This window comes from Homo sapiens, chromosome 9, assembly GCF_000001405.40.
Source record: "Homo sapiens chromosome 9, GRCh38.p14 Primary Assembly".
NCBI lineage: Eukaryota > Metazoa > Chordata > Mammalia > Primates > Hominidae > Homo > Homo sapiens.
The window spans coordinates 110,058,433-110,075,480 of record NC_000009.12 but is presented as its reverse complement, the minus strand read 5'-3'; the positions used below and the strand labels follow the sequence as shown (position 1 = coordinate 110,075,480).

The window sequence follows — 17,048 nt, the reverse complement described above, 5'->3', positions numbered from 1 at the left end:
TTCTTCTTTTTATAGTTTTTTATGTCTACATTTCTATAATAAGCATGCATTATTTTTATAATTAGGAAAAATGAAATATTAGAGGGAAATTATATGTTTTTATGAATTACATAAACATCTGATTCAGTTTTCAAACAATTTTATGTACTAGCTTGATAGTGGAATTTGAAGATAAGGCATCTAAACCCTAGATAAAATCCTGTTTACAGCAGCAATACCAAATTGGTAAATTTTACAACAAATTAGAAATTATTTTCCATTCAAGCCTTAGAAGAGTAGGGATGAACTACAGGTAAAAGAGTAGGGGTGAACTACAGGTCTGGTGCATGAAACAGCTGGCACACCGACATTCGGCCAGAATTTTTTCAAGATTGTCAATTGACAACAAAAATAAATTGTGCCCGCATTCAAGACACATTCTTCTAATTCATCTCTTACAGTGACTTTTTTTTTTCTTTTTCTTTTTCTTTTTTTTCTTGAGATGGAGTCTCACTCTGTCGCTCAGGCTGGAGTGCAGTGGCACAATCTTGGCTCACTGCAACATCTGCCTCCTGGGTTCAAGAGATTCTCCTGTCTCAGCCTCCCAAGTAGCTGGGATTACAGGCACACGCCACCACACCCAGCTAGTTTTTGTATTTCTAGTAGAGACGGGGTTTCACCATGTTGGCCAGGCTGGTCTCGAACTCTTGACCTCAGGTGATCCACCTGCCTCAGCCTCCCAATGTGCTGGGATTACGGGCGTGAACCACCACACCCAGCCTATGGTGACTTTTTAAAAGCTCATTTCTGGTTCTAAAAATTAGAATGCTACATGGTATGTGTATGTGCGTGTGTGTGTTTATAATTTTTTTGTGAACTATTGGAGTCTTTTTGCAGACATAATGCCTCGTTATTCCTAATACTTCAAGGTACATTTTTGAAAAACAAGGACTTTTTCCACCTAACCACAGTCCAGCCTCAAAATCTTGTAATTAACATTGATGGAATTCTACATGTAAACCATAGACCTCATGCAAATTTCAATCTTGGTCCCAATGATGTTCTTACTAATAAAATGATCCAATCTAGGCTCCCATGTCTCATGTCTCTAGTCTCCTTCAATTTGGGGTACTTTCTTAGTCTTTCCTTGTCTTTCATGACTTTTACTTACTTATTTATTTGAGATGGGCTCTCACCATATTGCCTAGACTGGCCTCAAACTCCTGGCCTCAAGGGATCCTCCCGCTTCAGCTTCCCAAGTAGCTAGGATTATAGGTGTGAGCTATCATGCCCAGCTAATTTGGGACTTCTAAAGATTATAGACAAGTTATTTTGTTGAACATCCCGCAATTTGAGGTTACCTGATATTTCCTCATGATTAGATCTAACTCATGCATTTGTGCAGGAATATCACAGAAGCGATGCTGTGTTTTCCTCTGTGCATCTCATCAAATGGTGCACACTGCCAATTTGTCCAATTACTAATGGTGTTAGATTTGATTATTTGATTAGGGTGGTATCTGCCAAGTTTCTCTACTGCCAAGTTACTATATTCCCTTTGCAATTCATGTGTATTTTGTGGGAAGACACATGAAGCTGTGTAAATATCCTGGTGGGACAATATAATCATTAAAAAAGGTATACTAAGTAGCAATCAATATTCAGCCTCCAGAAAAAAACTAACAGCATTTCATAATATGTTTGTTAGTTATATTTAAGAACTATAGTATCCCTGAAACAATTTTTCAGAACTTCCCCAGAGAAAAGACTCTGGGGAGGGAAATCCCATAATGTAGACACTGCAGTTTGCCAAAGGTAAATCTAATGTTTATCTGCAAAAGTCACAGAAGTGGTGACATTTAGATGTGCAACCTTTAATTCCTGGGGAAACTTTGAAAAATAAATATGACTTGCCCTCTAGATATATCCTCAGAGCTGGCTTTCTTGACCTATCTGAACTTTCTTGTTTGTTCTCTTAACAAAAGGCTTTTAACTGAGATAAAACAACAAGCTAGGCTAACCCTGGCTTGAGTCTGGATCACACACAATGTGATCCAAAGAGTGTCAAGTGTCCATGTAAAACACCCTATAAAAGCTGTTTCAGCCATGGCAATTCTCAGCTCAGGTCATGAGGCTCACTTCAAGTGTCCCAGTTGAGAGGGTGTCCAGGAACTCCCAGGAGAGAACAACCTGTAGTCTTTTTACTTAAGCTTCTTATTTCCTAAAAGCTTTGTGTTTGTCTGAAAACACAAGACCAGCAATGACGCATTCTTGCTCAGAACAAAAACTGTCATTAAAATGGACTTGCAGACAGAGGCTTCAGGGCTTCGCACTAAAGACTCATTCTGTGTTTTGGAATCTATGATGATTATTACAAAAGAAATTACAGAATCAATTGTAATTTTCTTTTCTTATACCTGGCAAGCACAATGGTAGAAACCTCTCCTAAGGCAATGCTTAACAGTTTGGGCTTGGTGTTGTGTGAAGTTTCTAAAAATAAATAGTGATGCATGTCTCCTCTCTCTCATTGCCTCAGATTTCCATTTCCTAATTGAATGATTCTCTTTAGAGAATCAAAATGGTCACGTGCAAAGTTAACCAAGGAAGAAGGGGAGAAAGCAGGCTAGGTAGGCCAGAGGAAAAGGGGCATTTGGGGTATCAACCAAGGTAGAGCTGGGGCAGAAGTCAGGAGACCAAGAATGCCAGCCCACAGAGTAGCCTGAGTATTGGCTACTCCCCAAGGTGGGTTATGTGGGCATGCGGCTGCATTTGAAGGGCAAGATCATGAGGACAGATTGTGGCTCCAGGTGGTTCAGACACCTCTATAGCATTTATGCCCTATGAACACTGCTCCCTCAAACAAGACACTACTCCAGCACCCAAGGATTACTACGCCTAACTCCAAATCTCACTCAAACCAATGGCTTCTTCATCTACCGCCATCCTTGCAACAAATCCTTAGCACAATTCTCAGAGATGCTAGAGGGCACAGATAAGTAATTCCTTTAAAGTCTGCCTTTAGTTTCTCTTCCTTTTCCATGCATGACACTATAGGCAAATTCTATCATCCACATGATTCTGGAAAGATCCAAGCTTAGTAGCAGGCAGTTTTTTGAGACCTCTGATAGATCAGGGACTGCTCCATTCTGATGGGCCCCTTGCCACCCTTAGCCACAGAGCTGGTCCAGAGAGAGCCCGCCATCCCAAGCAACAGTGGGCAGCTTGAGTTTGGGTTATGGCCGAGTCCTGTGGAAAGTGATGAAGACTTAGAATTTCTCATTTTCTCTTCCACTTCTTTCTCCCTCTCCTCCCCCTCATTTTTGCCCACATCAACAGTTTGCTTTATATTGGAATGTAGTTAAGATTCTATATTTTACCAATAGGCTTAAGATTCTATATTTTACCAATAGGTTTAGGGTTATACTGGTTCAGAGAAAAATTTTGGGAAGGAAAAATTGGAAATTCCAATAAAATGAGTTAATAATATGAACTACTACTAACTCACCTTTCACTGTTTCCCTAACACTCACTGTCTGAACTATCTATAAACACAAAATGGTGAGAAAATCACAGATAGCCAAGTGTTTGACTTAGAATGATCTTACTGACCTTGTACATATATGAACAAGTCCTACGAAGACTATATAAGGTTAGTTAATAACACAGTGATGGGCAGAACACAAGTATCTCCCAAATCACCCTCAGGCTCCTATCACTCAATAATACTACTTAAGTCTAAGGGAATTTTATAGACATAATTTTAGCCGAAATTTACCCACAAGAAACAATGGTAGTGCTAATTGGAAAATATGCCCATTTTCTATGTATCAGGGCATAGAGCAATCATTGCACAGGAAGATTCTTAAATGAAAAATAATTGATCTTCATTGAAAGAGAACTGAAAGAAGGAGGAGTTACAGAGGACATGTATCCATCCAAGTGACCAAGCATAGACAGGGAGAAAGTGAACTGAGTTATGAACTGTCAAAGACGTCAATAAGATAGACTACATCCTGGGAGCCATGAGTAGAGGTGGCCCTCAGTAAGTGGCAGGCTTTCCAAAGTCAGAGAAGATCTTTACCAATGTAAAAAAGTGAAAAGCTATATTCCTGTTAGTCATTTCCTTGGGAGAAGAAAATAACATTTGGGACCTCGCTAAAGCAACCATAAGAATTTTATTTGTATCCTCTATTACATCTCTAATAGTAACTATTTACTGAGTACCTATCAGACTCTCTAAATGTTGAGTTCAACTACATGAAATTTCTAATATTCGACCATTTGACCTATAAAAGTGGCAATTTCAGATGGGTTCTACCAATTCTTTTTTTTTTTTTTGAAACAGAGTCTCGCTCTGTTGCCCAGGCTGGAGTGCAGTGGCATGATCTGGGCTCCCTGCAGCCTCCGCCTCTCGAGTTCAAGCAATTCTCCTGCCTCAGCCTCCCACATAGCTGAGACTACAGGCACGTACCACCATGTCTGGCTAATTTTTGTATGTTTTTAGTAGAGGCGGGGTTTCACCACGTTGGCCAGGCTGGTCTTGAACTCCTGACTTCAAGTGATCCACCCACGTCAGCCTCCCAAAGTGCTGGGATTACAGGCATGAGCTACCACACCTGGCCTCTAATTTCTAATTCGAAACTTGCCGGATGGGTATTATTCCCAGTTACAGACGAAAAAAACAGAAATGCAAAGAGGAAGAGTAGCACGCCAAAGGTCATGAAGACATCAAAAGTGCCATGTTCTGACTGGGGTCGCATAGATCCCAAAGCCAAAGGTCAGGCTCCTCTCTCTATGGTACAGCATGGAGTCATCTGAGTTAGTTCAGGCAGCTAAACATGTATTAAGCAGAACACAGAGCTTCAATCATCCCAGTGAGCCTACTAAGTTTTAAAACAGATTTTCTGCCAATACCCAGCTTATCACAATTGACCAACTTATACTTTTCTCAGTCCTCTGGTCTGTAAAAATGAGAGGATCGACTGAAAGAATTGGTGAGGCTCTTTTTTCATTTTCTAAAATTTGAATAATCACAAATAAACAGAGATTTTAAAATTTAGTTTCTAAAACTTTTTAGTTTTTAAATTTACTTTTTAAAATTCTTTTTAAAATAGTCATTGTTCTTTGGAAACTACCCAAACAATATAAAATAGTTTAAAGTAGAAAGAGAAGATCTCCCCTCTCCCCTAATTTCAGTGGTCTGTCTGCATTTGGAATTTTGCCATATGCAAGCATGTGACCTTGAACCATTCCCGTAGCTTCTCTGAGACTGCATTTCTTTGAGTGCAGAATGGGACTGGACAATGTCAGCTCTGCTTCCTCTCAGGGGAAGATGAATGTATGAGAGTAGGTGAAAGTGTTTCCACTATGGGTTTTGTACTAGGTTGTCAGTACCGCTCTGCTAGGAGTCATGGTCACAAGCTTCCCTCTCTGGAGTTTTCCAGGATGCCCCTCCAGTGGGGATGGCCGCCAACCCTCTTCCTCTCCTGGGTCTCACGATTACTTAGCAAGCAGCCTCCCTCCATGAGTCAGGACAATAAGGGTTGGGCATCTTGAGCTAATCAAGTGACATTAGAAAAACGGAAATAGCCGCCTGATTATGATTTAACCGAAGTAAAAATTCTTATAAAACTATCTCTGAATCATGTTTGCATCACTGCTGATAAATCATACCAGGCGGAAGCCGGTGCATGTGACTGACCACGGGGACTCACTCTGTTGCAGCTCCACCTCCAGCTCACTTGTACCCCAAAGACACAGGTTCTGCAAAGCAGATGGGCCATGTGGAAGCTGTTGTTCCCTCAGCGCCTCCTGGTTCTCCTTCCTAGTCCTCATCCCAGGGTTTTAGAGTTAAGAATCCGATAAGCAAATGCACACGTCATTTAATCTCAGAGCTGACAGAGGCCCACAAGATCGTCTAGAAATTTACACCCCTGAACATGAACATGAAAACAGCTGAAGGTTCTGCCCCATCAAGAATATGGAAGGGTTTCAATTAACCACATTAACAAGCCACAAGAATGACATGGAGTGGCCTTAACATACTAAAAATGAACCTGTCTCATGATCAAAGGATATTTCTCTTCTGTTCCTGGGACAAACAAATGTTTTGAAGTCAACTAACAGGCATACACAAATGAAAATTAGTATCTGTAGTTTTCAAAACACTTTTTGCAGATCAACTCATTTGATGTTGAATGGTTGGGAGCAGAATTTATATTTATTGAAAACAGCATGCGCCAGCCATGTCGGACTTGTTACTGAACTTAATTCGTAACAGCAGCAGCTAATCATAGGTATTACTGGTCCTATTTTGCAGTTTACAAAACCAAGGTTTTGACAGGTGGAATAACTCAATGGGTTCATTGTGGCCTCCCTACCTCTACTGGGCTCTTTCCCCACAACCTCTTCTTCTTAGAGACCTTTGATCTTGGTGCATCTGTGAATTACACTGTGGCTTCAGAAAATAAAACATTTTGCAAATTAAGTCAAGGTAACACTGAAAAATGTCAGCTCCCTTCCTACACTAGGGTTTCATTTCTATACTGTAAGATCCTTCCATAGTGAACAGTCCCACATTCTCCCAATCAAGGGCTAATTATCTCTGGCACCTTGTTAACCCAGAGGTGTGGCAAACCAAGAAAGAAGTTCTCTTTTAAGAAAGTTCCAGGCTGGGTGTGGCAGCTCATGCCTATAATCCCAACACTTTGGGAGGCCAAGGCAGGAGGATCACTTGAGGCCAGGAGTTCGAGACCAGTCTGGGCAACAAGGCAAGACTCTCTCTCTACAAAATAATTTAAAAATTAGCCAGGCATGGTGGCGCACACCTGTGGTCTCAGCTACTCGGGAGGCTGAGGTGGGAGGATCGCTTGAGCCTGGGGGAGATGGAGGCTGCAGTGAGCTGTGATGGCACCACTACACTCCAGCCTGGGCAACAGAAGGAGACCCTGTCTCAAAAAAAAATTAAATTTTTTTTTTTTTTTAAAAAAGCTCCAATTTTGCCCTCAGTAGAGAAAACCTCAGACCCACCACTAGAGCAAACCTCAGACCCACCACTAGAGCAGAGATTCCTATATCATCTCATTATTTGCATGATATTAGCATGCTGTGTTACCAAATCCATTGTCATTCCCCTCAGCAACTACCACCACCCATACCCCTTATTTTCATGCTATTCAGTTGCCTCCTTAAAGGGAGAAGTACAGAAGCCTCATCAGGAAAACAGAAAAAGAACAGAAAAACAAAATCAGCCAAGTGAAATCTGCTGGAGACTTTGTCCTCCTTAATCCATCATGAAAGTTTACTTAACTAAGATACAAATCCCAAAAGGATTACACATTCCATGTTCTGTCATTCTATCTGCCCCAAGTTCTACTGATATTCAAAATTATCTTACCAAAAAAAAAAAAAAAAAGAGTTTGGAACATAAGCAAATACAACTCTAAACCCAATCTGGGAAATTCTTACTTGCTAAATGCTCACTTGCCTAAAAGCCACACAAATTGTATTTCAATCACTGCAGCCTCGTCATTATTCTTAAAAGATTTTGTCAAAATGAAAGCATCAAAATTTAAACAGACAAAATTAACCTCCAAGTTTCATGTTTGTTTTTAATGACAAATATAAAAATAAATTTTAAGGCAGCACAACTACCTTACCTACTTCAGCAGATTAAGCAATTGCCAACATAAAGGAAATTGTTGATCAGAAATTCCATTAGAAAGACAACACCAAAATTCAGTTTTAGCCAGCATTTTCAGGAAAATTTTCATTCATACTAGTAAACAGAAATACAAAGCAATATCCGAAAGAAAGTTGAGACCTTGATACTTTTTGTCTCTCACAATGTTTACAGCTTACAGCTCAGCAACAGCCAGGGTGGAGGAGGAAATTCCTCTGTTCACACCCACCTGCCATTGATGCCTTTTTTAAGAGGACTGTGCACAATGTATTTTAAAAAATCTATTGTTGGGTGAAGGAGACTCACATGTTTTCTTCTTCTGGCTAATAATGCATTCAATTGCCTTGAAGTCAATGAACTCCTGCGTGGGAAATACCAAGCAGCAGCCAAACAGGAATAGATTAAGTAATGCACCAACCAGACGATGTGTTTGAAACTTACATTCTAGAAGACCTTTCAATAGTAAAATACTTCATTCAGCAAACCTTTTCAATTTCACTTTATTTGTAACTTTACAAAGTTTTCTTAATTATCATTGTTAGAAAAATGAGAGTATTTCAATATTTGAGATTTAAATAATCTAAATATGAAGTCCTTAATTGAGAGATCAGCCATGATAGCACTGTTCTCCCAAGAGAATGTAACCTGGCATCCTACTCTCGGTAATCTGCCCAGAGTTGGAGAAAGCTAACTCCCTCCTCAGTTCGATAAAACAGACTAACGTTAGAATGACTAATAGTCATTCTCCTTCCTCATTCTCTATCTTCCCAGTGCAAAGAAAGCCAGGCCATATTTATTATTATCTATTATCTGATAAAACCAAATGAAGAGCTCTCTCTTTCCTTGATAATGAGTCTCTAGAACTGAATACTTCTTTGCTAAAACTATCATAATCTGAAAAGGAGGTAAAATAGGAAAGGCATAACAGGCATCATGAATACCTGCAAAAACTGCAGCAAACAGATACTAAAGAGTATCTGTGGTCATTAAAAAGACAAGAACAATATATTAAAAATAGCCAAAATGTTAGTGGGCAATATGTTATCTCCTTTATATTTTAGTACTGAGTTCTAACCGTGTGCCAGCCTGTTTCAATCTTTACCTACTTTTTTTTTTTTTTAAGAGACAATGTCTTGGTCTGTTCCCCAGGCTAGAGTGCAGTGTTGTGATCATAGCTCACTGCCACCTTAGAACTCCTGGGCTCAAGGGATCTTCCCACTTCAGCCTCCCAAGCAGCCAGGACTACAGGTGTGCACCACCATGACCAGCTAAGTTTTTAAATTGTTTTTAGAGACAAGGTCTCACTATGCTGCCCAGGCTGGTCTAGAACTTCTGGGTTCAAGTAATCCTCCTGCCTTAGCCTCCCAAAGTGCTGGGATTACAGGCATGAATCACCACGCCCATCTTTTACTTACATTTACTCACTTAATCCTCTCAACAACTCTATGAGGTAAGTACTATTATCTGCGTTTTACAGATGAGGAAACTAAAGCTTACAAAGGTTCAATAATTCACCCAAAGTGACAAGGACAGGAAGTCACAAAGCCAGGATTTCAGCTTGGGCTCCTTAACTCTGCTTTAAGTCCATACTCTCTCTAAGCCATCCTCTTCCAGAAACTCCACACCAGCCATTTTGCAAATCTACACCTACGCTCATAGGATACATCTTAAAGTGTTGTCTCATACAACTTTTGCACCATGATTTACTTTTTCATGTATCTGTTCTTTGCATCTTTGCTAGGGATAGTGAACTTCTCCAAAGTAGGGAACTGGGGAACTCTTTTGATGCCTGGAGGACCTCATAGATGGATTAACCTCTCAAAAACAAGGGCAAGACAAAAGGTGGAAGCAACCCAAGTATCGAATGAATGAATGGATATACAAAATGTGGCATATAAACACAATGGGACATTATTCAATTTTTTTAAAGGAAGGAAATTGTGACACATGCTATAACATGGATAAACATTGAGGACATTATGCTAAGTGAAATAAGCCAGTCACAGAAAGACAAATACGTGATTTCACTTATATGAGGTTACTAGAGTAGACAACTTCATAGAGACAGAAAGTAGAATGGTGGTTGCCAAGAGCTGGGGAAGAGGAAAGAAGGAAGGGATAGTTATTGCTTAATGCATACAGTTTCAGTTTTGCAAGTTGAAAGAGTTCTGTGAATGGATGGTGGGGACGGTTGCACAATAATGTGAATGTACTTAATACCACAAAACTGGACACTAAAAAATGGTTTAGAGGGTACATTTTACATTTTATGTCACACAATTAAAATGAAAAACAGGGCAGGCACGATGGCTCACACCTAAGACCCCACACTCTGGGACACCAAGGTGGGAGGATCGCTGGAGCTCAGGAGTTTGAGACCAGCCTGGACAACATGGTGTGACCCTGTCTACAGAAAATTTAAAAATTAGCCAGGCATTGTGGTGCACACCTGTGGTCCCAGCCTCTCAGGAGGCTGAGGTGGGAGTATCGCTTGGGCCCAGGAGATCAAGGTTGTAATAAGCCATGATTGCACCACTGCACTCTAGCCTGGTGACAGAGTGAGACCTTGTCTCTAAATAAATAATGATAAATAAATAAATAATAAATAACAGACAAAAAAGGACAACAACTAGAACAAATGTCTACAGAAATGTCTTAATGTCTACAGCCATGCCTCCATGGGGCTGTCAGGCTGCTGTCACGGAAGTGCAGGAAGCTGGCCCTCCACCAGAAAGTCATCCGGCTGGTGTGACACCAAAGCTTACTGATGGGGACAAGCCATTCAACGCTGTCACTGCTATGTTTCCACAGCCTTGCAACCTGCAGGTCACCCTCAGAACAAGCCCTTTCTGACAGCTGTGGAAGCAAGAGGAAACATCAAACTCCCAAGAAAGTATGTCTTTAAGACCTCAGCCTCTTCCTGTCTCATAGGCTGGTCCTGTGGAGGGCCCTGATATCTGGTGCGCAATGCCAGAAGACAAGTCCAGGCATCCATCATTTCCCTTATCACGGGGCCACCGAGGTCCCAAAAATAATGAATGAGGGGTCGTTTCCACCTTGGAAATGTGCCAAGTCCACATCAAATTGCAAAGGAAACAATACTGAGAAGTGTGACAGCTTGGGATTCCTGCGATGACAGAGGTGGGACAATGAAGGAACTGCCCCAGTTCCGGGGCCAGAGAGCTGCCGTGGCAGTAAGAAGCAGTTCAACCCCATATCCTTCTCTTCAAATCACAGTCCTGTGGCTTCTGCTGAGGACATACCACTAACTACACAGGCTTGAACTCCTGGCTTCAAGCAATCTTCGCATCTCAGCCTTCCAATGTTCTGGGATTACAGGCGTGAGCCATCGTTCCTGGACTCACTTGAGCCCTCAAACACTTTCTGAGCCAATTCACTGCTGGGTGCCTAGGACCCAATGTGTTCCAGACCGAGGCTGGGCTAGGAGGTCGGACAGGAGAGGCACTTCCGTCTTGGGAAGATGAGCATACACACTACTAGGGGATTCAAGCTGAATTTTCTCTTTGGCTTCCAAAAATCGCCTTCTATTAACATTTTTTCTATCATAATCAATGTCTTCGTTTACTTCCACTCCTTCCTCCTCCTCCTTAGGTAGGCAGCCAGGCTTTTAACTCCTTGCTTCCAGGATCTCATATCAAGGAGATAAGATTTTTCTAGAGTTTTGTAAACATCTAAGCCATCAACAAGATTTGCAAGGTGTTCTAGAAAAGCTCCTTACCCCCTCCACCCCTGGGTGTTTCACTTTGGTCCGTGGAAGCTCCTAAGGGAACTGGCAAGGCTTCAGAGAAGAGGGGCTCCAGGTTCCCAGACTTACCAAGGATTTCCCTGACCTGTCCCATGCCTGCATGAACTGGTAAAGAGCCTCAAATGGGATGAACTGTGTGCACCCCTACCCCAACCCTTGCTCCACTTCCTATGTTGAAGCCCTAACCCCCAATACTTCTGAGTGTGATGGTATTTGGATACAGGGTCTTTAAAGAGGTAATTAAATTAAAATGAAGTCTTTAGAGTGGATGAGTCTAATATGACTGGTGTTCTTACAGAAGAGGAAATTTGAGCCAAGCGTGGTGGCTCACGCCTGTAATCCCAGCAGTTTGGGAGGCTAACGTGGGTGGATCACTTGAGGTCAGGAGTTTAAGACCAGCCTGGCCAACGTGGTGAAATTTTGTCTCTACTAAAAATACAAAAAAAAATTAGCTGGGCGTGGTGGTGGGCACCTGTAATCCCAGCTACTTGGGAGGCTGAGGCAGGAGAATCACTTGAACCTGGGAGGCAGAGTTTGCAGTGAGCTGAGATCGTGCCATTGCACTCCAGCCTGGGTGACAAGAGTGAAACTCTGTCTCAAAAAAAAAAAAAAAAATAGAAATTTGGACACAGATACATACACAGAGGAGAGACCATGTGAAGACACTGGGAGAAGACACCCATCTACAAGCCAAGACCTAGAACAGAACCTCTCCTCACAGCCCTCAGAAGCAACCAACCCTGCAAACACCTGGATCTTGGTCTTCTAGCCTCTGTCAATGGAAGAAAATGACAAGACAAATCTCAATCATTTTAGATTTATTTGCCAAAGTTAAGAACATGCCTGGGAGACAGATGTATGCCTTTCTCCAGAGATGATTTTGAGGATTCCAAATTTAAAGGAGAAAAGGTGGGATATTGAGAAGCACACAGTTTTCACATAAACAAAAGGGGCAGAGGAAAAAATGTGGAGAATCTGCATTTTACATAAGATAGCACAGACAAAATGGGGTAGGGGAACAATCAGATATGCTTTTGAGTCTGGCAGGGCCTGGGTGACTGCGCCTGTATAAGATAAACTATCAATTTGCATTGCCATGGTGAAGTTTTAACAGCTCACCAGGAATTTCCCTGTGGGCAAAATATAGGGAAGGCAGGTATTTTTTCATCTTGTAGCCATCTTATTTAGGAACCAAAGAGGGGAGGCAGGTTTGCGTGACCCAGTTCTCAGCTTGACTTTTCCCTTTGGCTAAATGAGTTTGGGGTCCCAAAATTTAACTTCCTTTTACAACTATATGAGAAAATAGATTTCTGTTGTTTAAACTACCCAGGCTGTGGTACTTTGCTATGGCAGCCTTAGCAAACTAATATAACACATGTGCTAGAAATCACTGTTGAAACCATTGTAGATAGGTGTTGGATGGACCACTTCCCACAACCTAGCACATTCTAAAACCTTAGGTCCTGCAGGTAATCCTAGGGTGGGTGTGTCTAAAAATAATGGGGTACATTTTCTTATAGTTGGACAGATTGAAGGCTTGGAGATAAAATTAATTTACATAAGTTTTAAAATGCTATTTTTTATGTGGTACATATACACCATGGAATACTATGCAGCCATAAAAAGGAATGAGATCATGTACTTTGCAGAGACATGAATGGAGCTCAAAGCCATTATCCTCAGCAAACTAATGCAGCAACAGAAAACCAAACACCACATGTTCTCACTTACAAGTGAGAGCTGAACAATGAGTATACATGGACACAGGGAAGGGAACAACACACACTGGGGCCTCTTGGAGGGGGTGGGGAGGGAGAGCATCAGGATAACTAGCTAATGCATGTAGGGCTTAATATGTAGGTGATGGGTTGATAGGTGCAGCAAAGCACCATGGCACACGTTTACCTATGTAACAAACCTGTAGGTCCTGCACATGTATCCTGGAACTTAAAATAAAATTTTTTTAATGCTATTTTTTTGTAAGCCTTTGTTTATGGACTGAGATTTATACCCCCAACCATAGTAAAAGGAGACAACAAGCTTAGTTTGTATTAAGCACTAAGAAGGCAGCATAGTAAAAACAGGAATGATTAAGAGACTGTCTCTAACCACTAGCCTATAGGGATTCCAAGCTTGGCTTTGCCACTAGCTGTGTACCCTTGCCCTAAACCCTTGTGTCTGTTTCTTCATCTGTAACAAAAAATTATAATAATATTTGTCTGGCATGTTGGCTTATGCCTATAATCCCAGCACTTTGGGAGGCCGAGGCAGGCAGATTACTGGAGCTCAAGAGTTCGAGACCAGCCTGGCCAACATGGTGAAACCCCATCTATACTAAAAATACAAAAATTAGCCAGGCGTGGTGGTGTGTACCTGTTGTACACATATATATATGTACACACACACATATATATATAAATAAATATATATATTTTATATATATATATAAAATAATGGTATCTCTATCAAAGGTTGTTACGGGGGTTAAATATGACAATCCACATATGACACTGGAAATAGGGCCTGACTTTCAGTCAACATTCATTATCAAGAAGCAGCTTAAACTCACTTTTATAACAGAGTATCTGTGCTTATGGAAGGTTAAACTCACTGAAAACACATAAAAATGTATAGTTTTTTTCAAAGTTAAGTTACACCCTTCTGAACAAAACTTGATCACAATGCATGCATGAAAATGGGCCCATGTTAAAGGTTCAAGGTTTTATTAAATTGTACCCATACATTGTATTATGTCTTCCTCCACTCTGTCCTTGGTTTGGATGCATTCTTCATAAAGCTGCAGTAATTGTTAATTTGTATTTGTTCAAGTATTTGCAAGTCAGTTGTACAATGATTCTTGTTAGCATATTTTCAGGCGGACTTTGAAAAGCATAACTTGTGGCAAAGAGGGTTTAGTGGATCTTGCAAGAGGTGACACACATTATCATGCCCAAGAGGACCCTTGTGGAGTTCATGAGACGTGACAAGGTACTTTAGAAGGTGTGGGCTGGGAGAGGAGGTTACCTTAACGGGACAAAGGTCTCTAAGGAAGAAGACATACAGGCAGAGATTGCCTTCAAAATTAAGGAACTGCAAAGTCAGGGAAATAGACCTTCAGACAGCTTACAAGTAGCTTAACTTGTAAGCTTAACTTAATATTTAGAGTAAAAACTCCTGCTGTAATCCCAGCACTTTGGGAGGCTGAGGCGGGTGGATCACAAGGTCAGTAGATGGAGACCATCCTGGCCAACATGGCGAAATCCCGTCTCTACCAAAAATACAAAAATTAGCTAGCCCTGGTGGCATGTACCTGTAGTCTCAGCTACTCGGGAGGCTGAGGCAGGAGAATGGCTTGAACCCAGGAGGCGGAGGTTGCAGTGAGCCGAGATCGCGCCACTGCACTCCAGCCTGGGCAACAGAGTGAGATTCCATCTAAAACAAACAAACAAACAAAAACTCCTGGACCTGTTGACCCTCTTTCCTCATGAGAGTGATGGAGACAGCAGCTGTCTCAGCACCAGTTGTCACCCAGCACAGTAACAATGCAAGGGGAAAAAAATAGGGCCTGTGGGCCTGACCTTGACCAATTCATCTCACTTTTCCATCTTCAAAATGGAATTAAAAACTATCCAAGGACCCCAAAGAGTAGTTGTCAGGCTAAAATAAAATTACCTGGCCCATCCCAGCACTTTGGGAGGCCAAGGTGGGCAGATCACTTGAGGTCAGGAGTTCGAGACCAGCCTGGCCAACATGGTGAATATTAGAAATACAAAAATTTGCCGGATGTTGTGGTGCGCACCTGTTGTCTCAGCTACTTGGGAGGCCAAGCCAACAGAATCGCTTAAACACAGGAGGCGGAGGTTGCAGTGAGCCGAAATCGCACCATTGCATTCCAGCCTGGGCAACACAGCAAGACTCATCTAAAACAAAAACAAAAACAAAAACAAAAACAAAAACAAAATACCTGGCCCCACAGAGGGCATTCAATCACAAATTACAATAATAAAAAGCCTAGTAGACCATCTTGCAGACACCCTGATCTCTGATTTTCTTCCTCTCATTTATGTACCTTTAAGACTGATATATTTTAAAAATTGTTTCTAATATTGATTCTCAAATACTTTTCTCAAGACAATTACTGTACTAAAAATCGATGACCAGGTGCCAAATCTTCCCTTTCTGAGCATAACTGATAATCCTCCATAGACACTGCTCTCATGATCTCCACCCCCTAGTCATTCCCCATAGCTCCCTATTTTTCTAATGCAGAGCCCTCTGGAGCAGATCAGATGGTAAGGTGGAAAAACACAGGCTTCCCACTCCTGGGAAGACACATTCCACTCTGGCCAGAAGCCTAGCACTCTGGCTTCTTCTGCCCTAGTCTCTGAGTCCAAAGGCCAGGCTTGAATGTTCTGCAGCTGGCCGGTCACTGCCCCCACCTCCTTTCACATCCACAGCCCCACATTTCCTTTGCAAAGGAGAATGAAAGTTATAAAAAGATGATGCATAGAAATTGCAAAAAGATTTTATTTTTCTTGGAATGCCTTGGTCTTAAATCCAGTTTGGGTTCCAAAACTTGTCTAGAATAACCTATTTCAAGGATAATGTCCATGAAAAAGTAGTAGAAAATGACTATTCTAGTACCAACAACTAAAGAAAGCAGGAGGACATAATAGAACAACAACAAAAACACCAACTCTGTTTTAGAATTCTGTACTTCGAGAAAGAGCAAGTTAATTTAAGAGTAAAAACAAGACAGCAGACATTTCTGGCAACTCTCAAAGGGACTCTCACAACTGGATGAATGACAGGAGCTCTTTATTGGATATAATTTCACTTCAAAACATTTTCCATCGGCTGGGCGCGGTGGCTCACACCTGTAATCCCAGCACTTTGGGAGGCCGAGGCAGACGGATCACTTGAGGTCAGGAGTTTGAGACCAGCCTGGCAAACATGGTGAAACCCTGTCTCTACCCAAAATACAAAAATTACGTGGGCGTGGTGGCACATGCCTGTAATCCCTGCTACTAGGGAGGCTGAGGCAGCAGAATCGCTTGAACCCAGGGGGCGGAGGTTGCAGTGAGCCGAGATTGCACCACTGCACTCCAGCAGGGCAACAGAGTAAGACTCCATCTCAAAAAAAAAAAAAAAAAAAACCAAAAAACTTTCCATCAGTATACAATAAGCATACTCATTTTACTTCCCAGTATTGATACAGGTTGCTGTTCAGCTCAGAAAAGGAAGAAAGAGAAGAAAAAAAGGGAGAGAGACAGGGGAGGGAGGACAGATCTTTTCAGATGTTCTGGGCCAGGATCTAAAGAGAATGGGAAGGAAGGAGGGAGAGAGGATATGTGTCCACCAGTGGAAGTGGCTACAGTGTCGTGGCATTGAAGGAGTTGAGTAAGAAACAGTGAGGTGTGGATCCACGCAGGCAGGGAGGAAAAGATGGTAGAAACAGCGCTTTGGTTCCCTTTACCAATTATTCATTATTTGCGTTCCTCCCCCAGCCTCCAGGTGGCACAACTGACCCAGCATATCCTGCTTGAGAACGGAAAGGTAGGACAAAGGCCAGGGCAAGTCTTAGGAATAAAATGAAGAAACAGAAGGCACTGTTGCCAGGCA

The 17,048-nt window shown here is 41.7% G+C and overlaps 1 protein-coding gene across 15 annotated transcripts in view, besides 1 other annotated feature; it reads right to left on the bottom strand.

Moving 5' to 3' along the window:
* PALM2AKAP2 (PALM2 and AKAP2 fusion) overlaps positions 1-17,048 on the bottom strand; it is a 531,726-nt gene that overhangs the window by 97,032 nt on the left and 417,646 nt on the right. The gene's annotated exons all lie outside the window — the stretch shown is intronic.
* Positions 5,142-6,341: an enhancer, noted in NCBI's record as "CDK7 strongly-dependent group 2 enhancer chr9:112831420-112832619 (GRCh37/hg19 assembly coordinates)". NCBI's record gives its function as "activates an origin of replication core promoter dependent on BRD2, BRD4, P300/CBP, MED14 and CDK7 cofactors, with strong dependence on CDK7, by STARR-seq in HCT116 cells {active_cell/tissue: HCT116}" and the evidence as "EXISTENCE:reporter gene assay evidence [ECO:0000049][PMID:35650434]".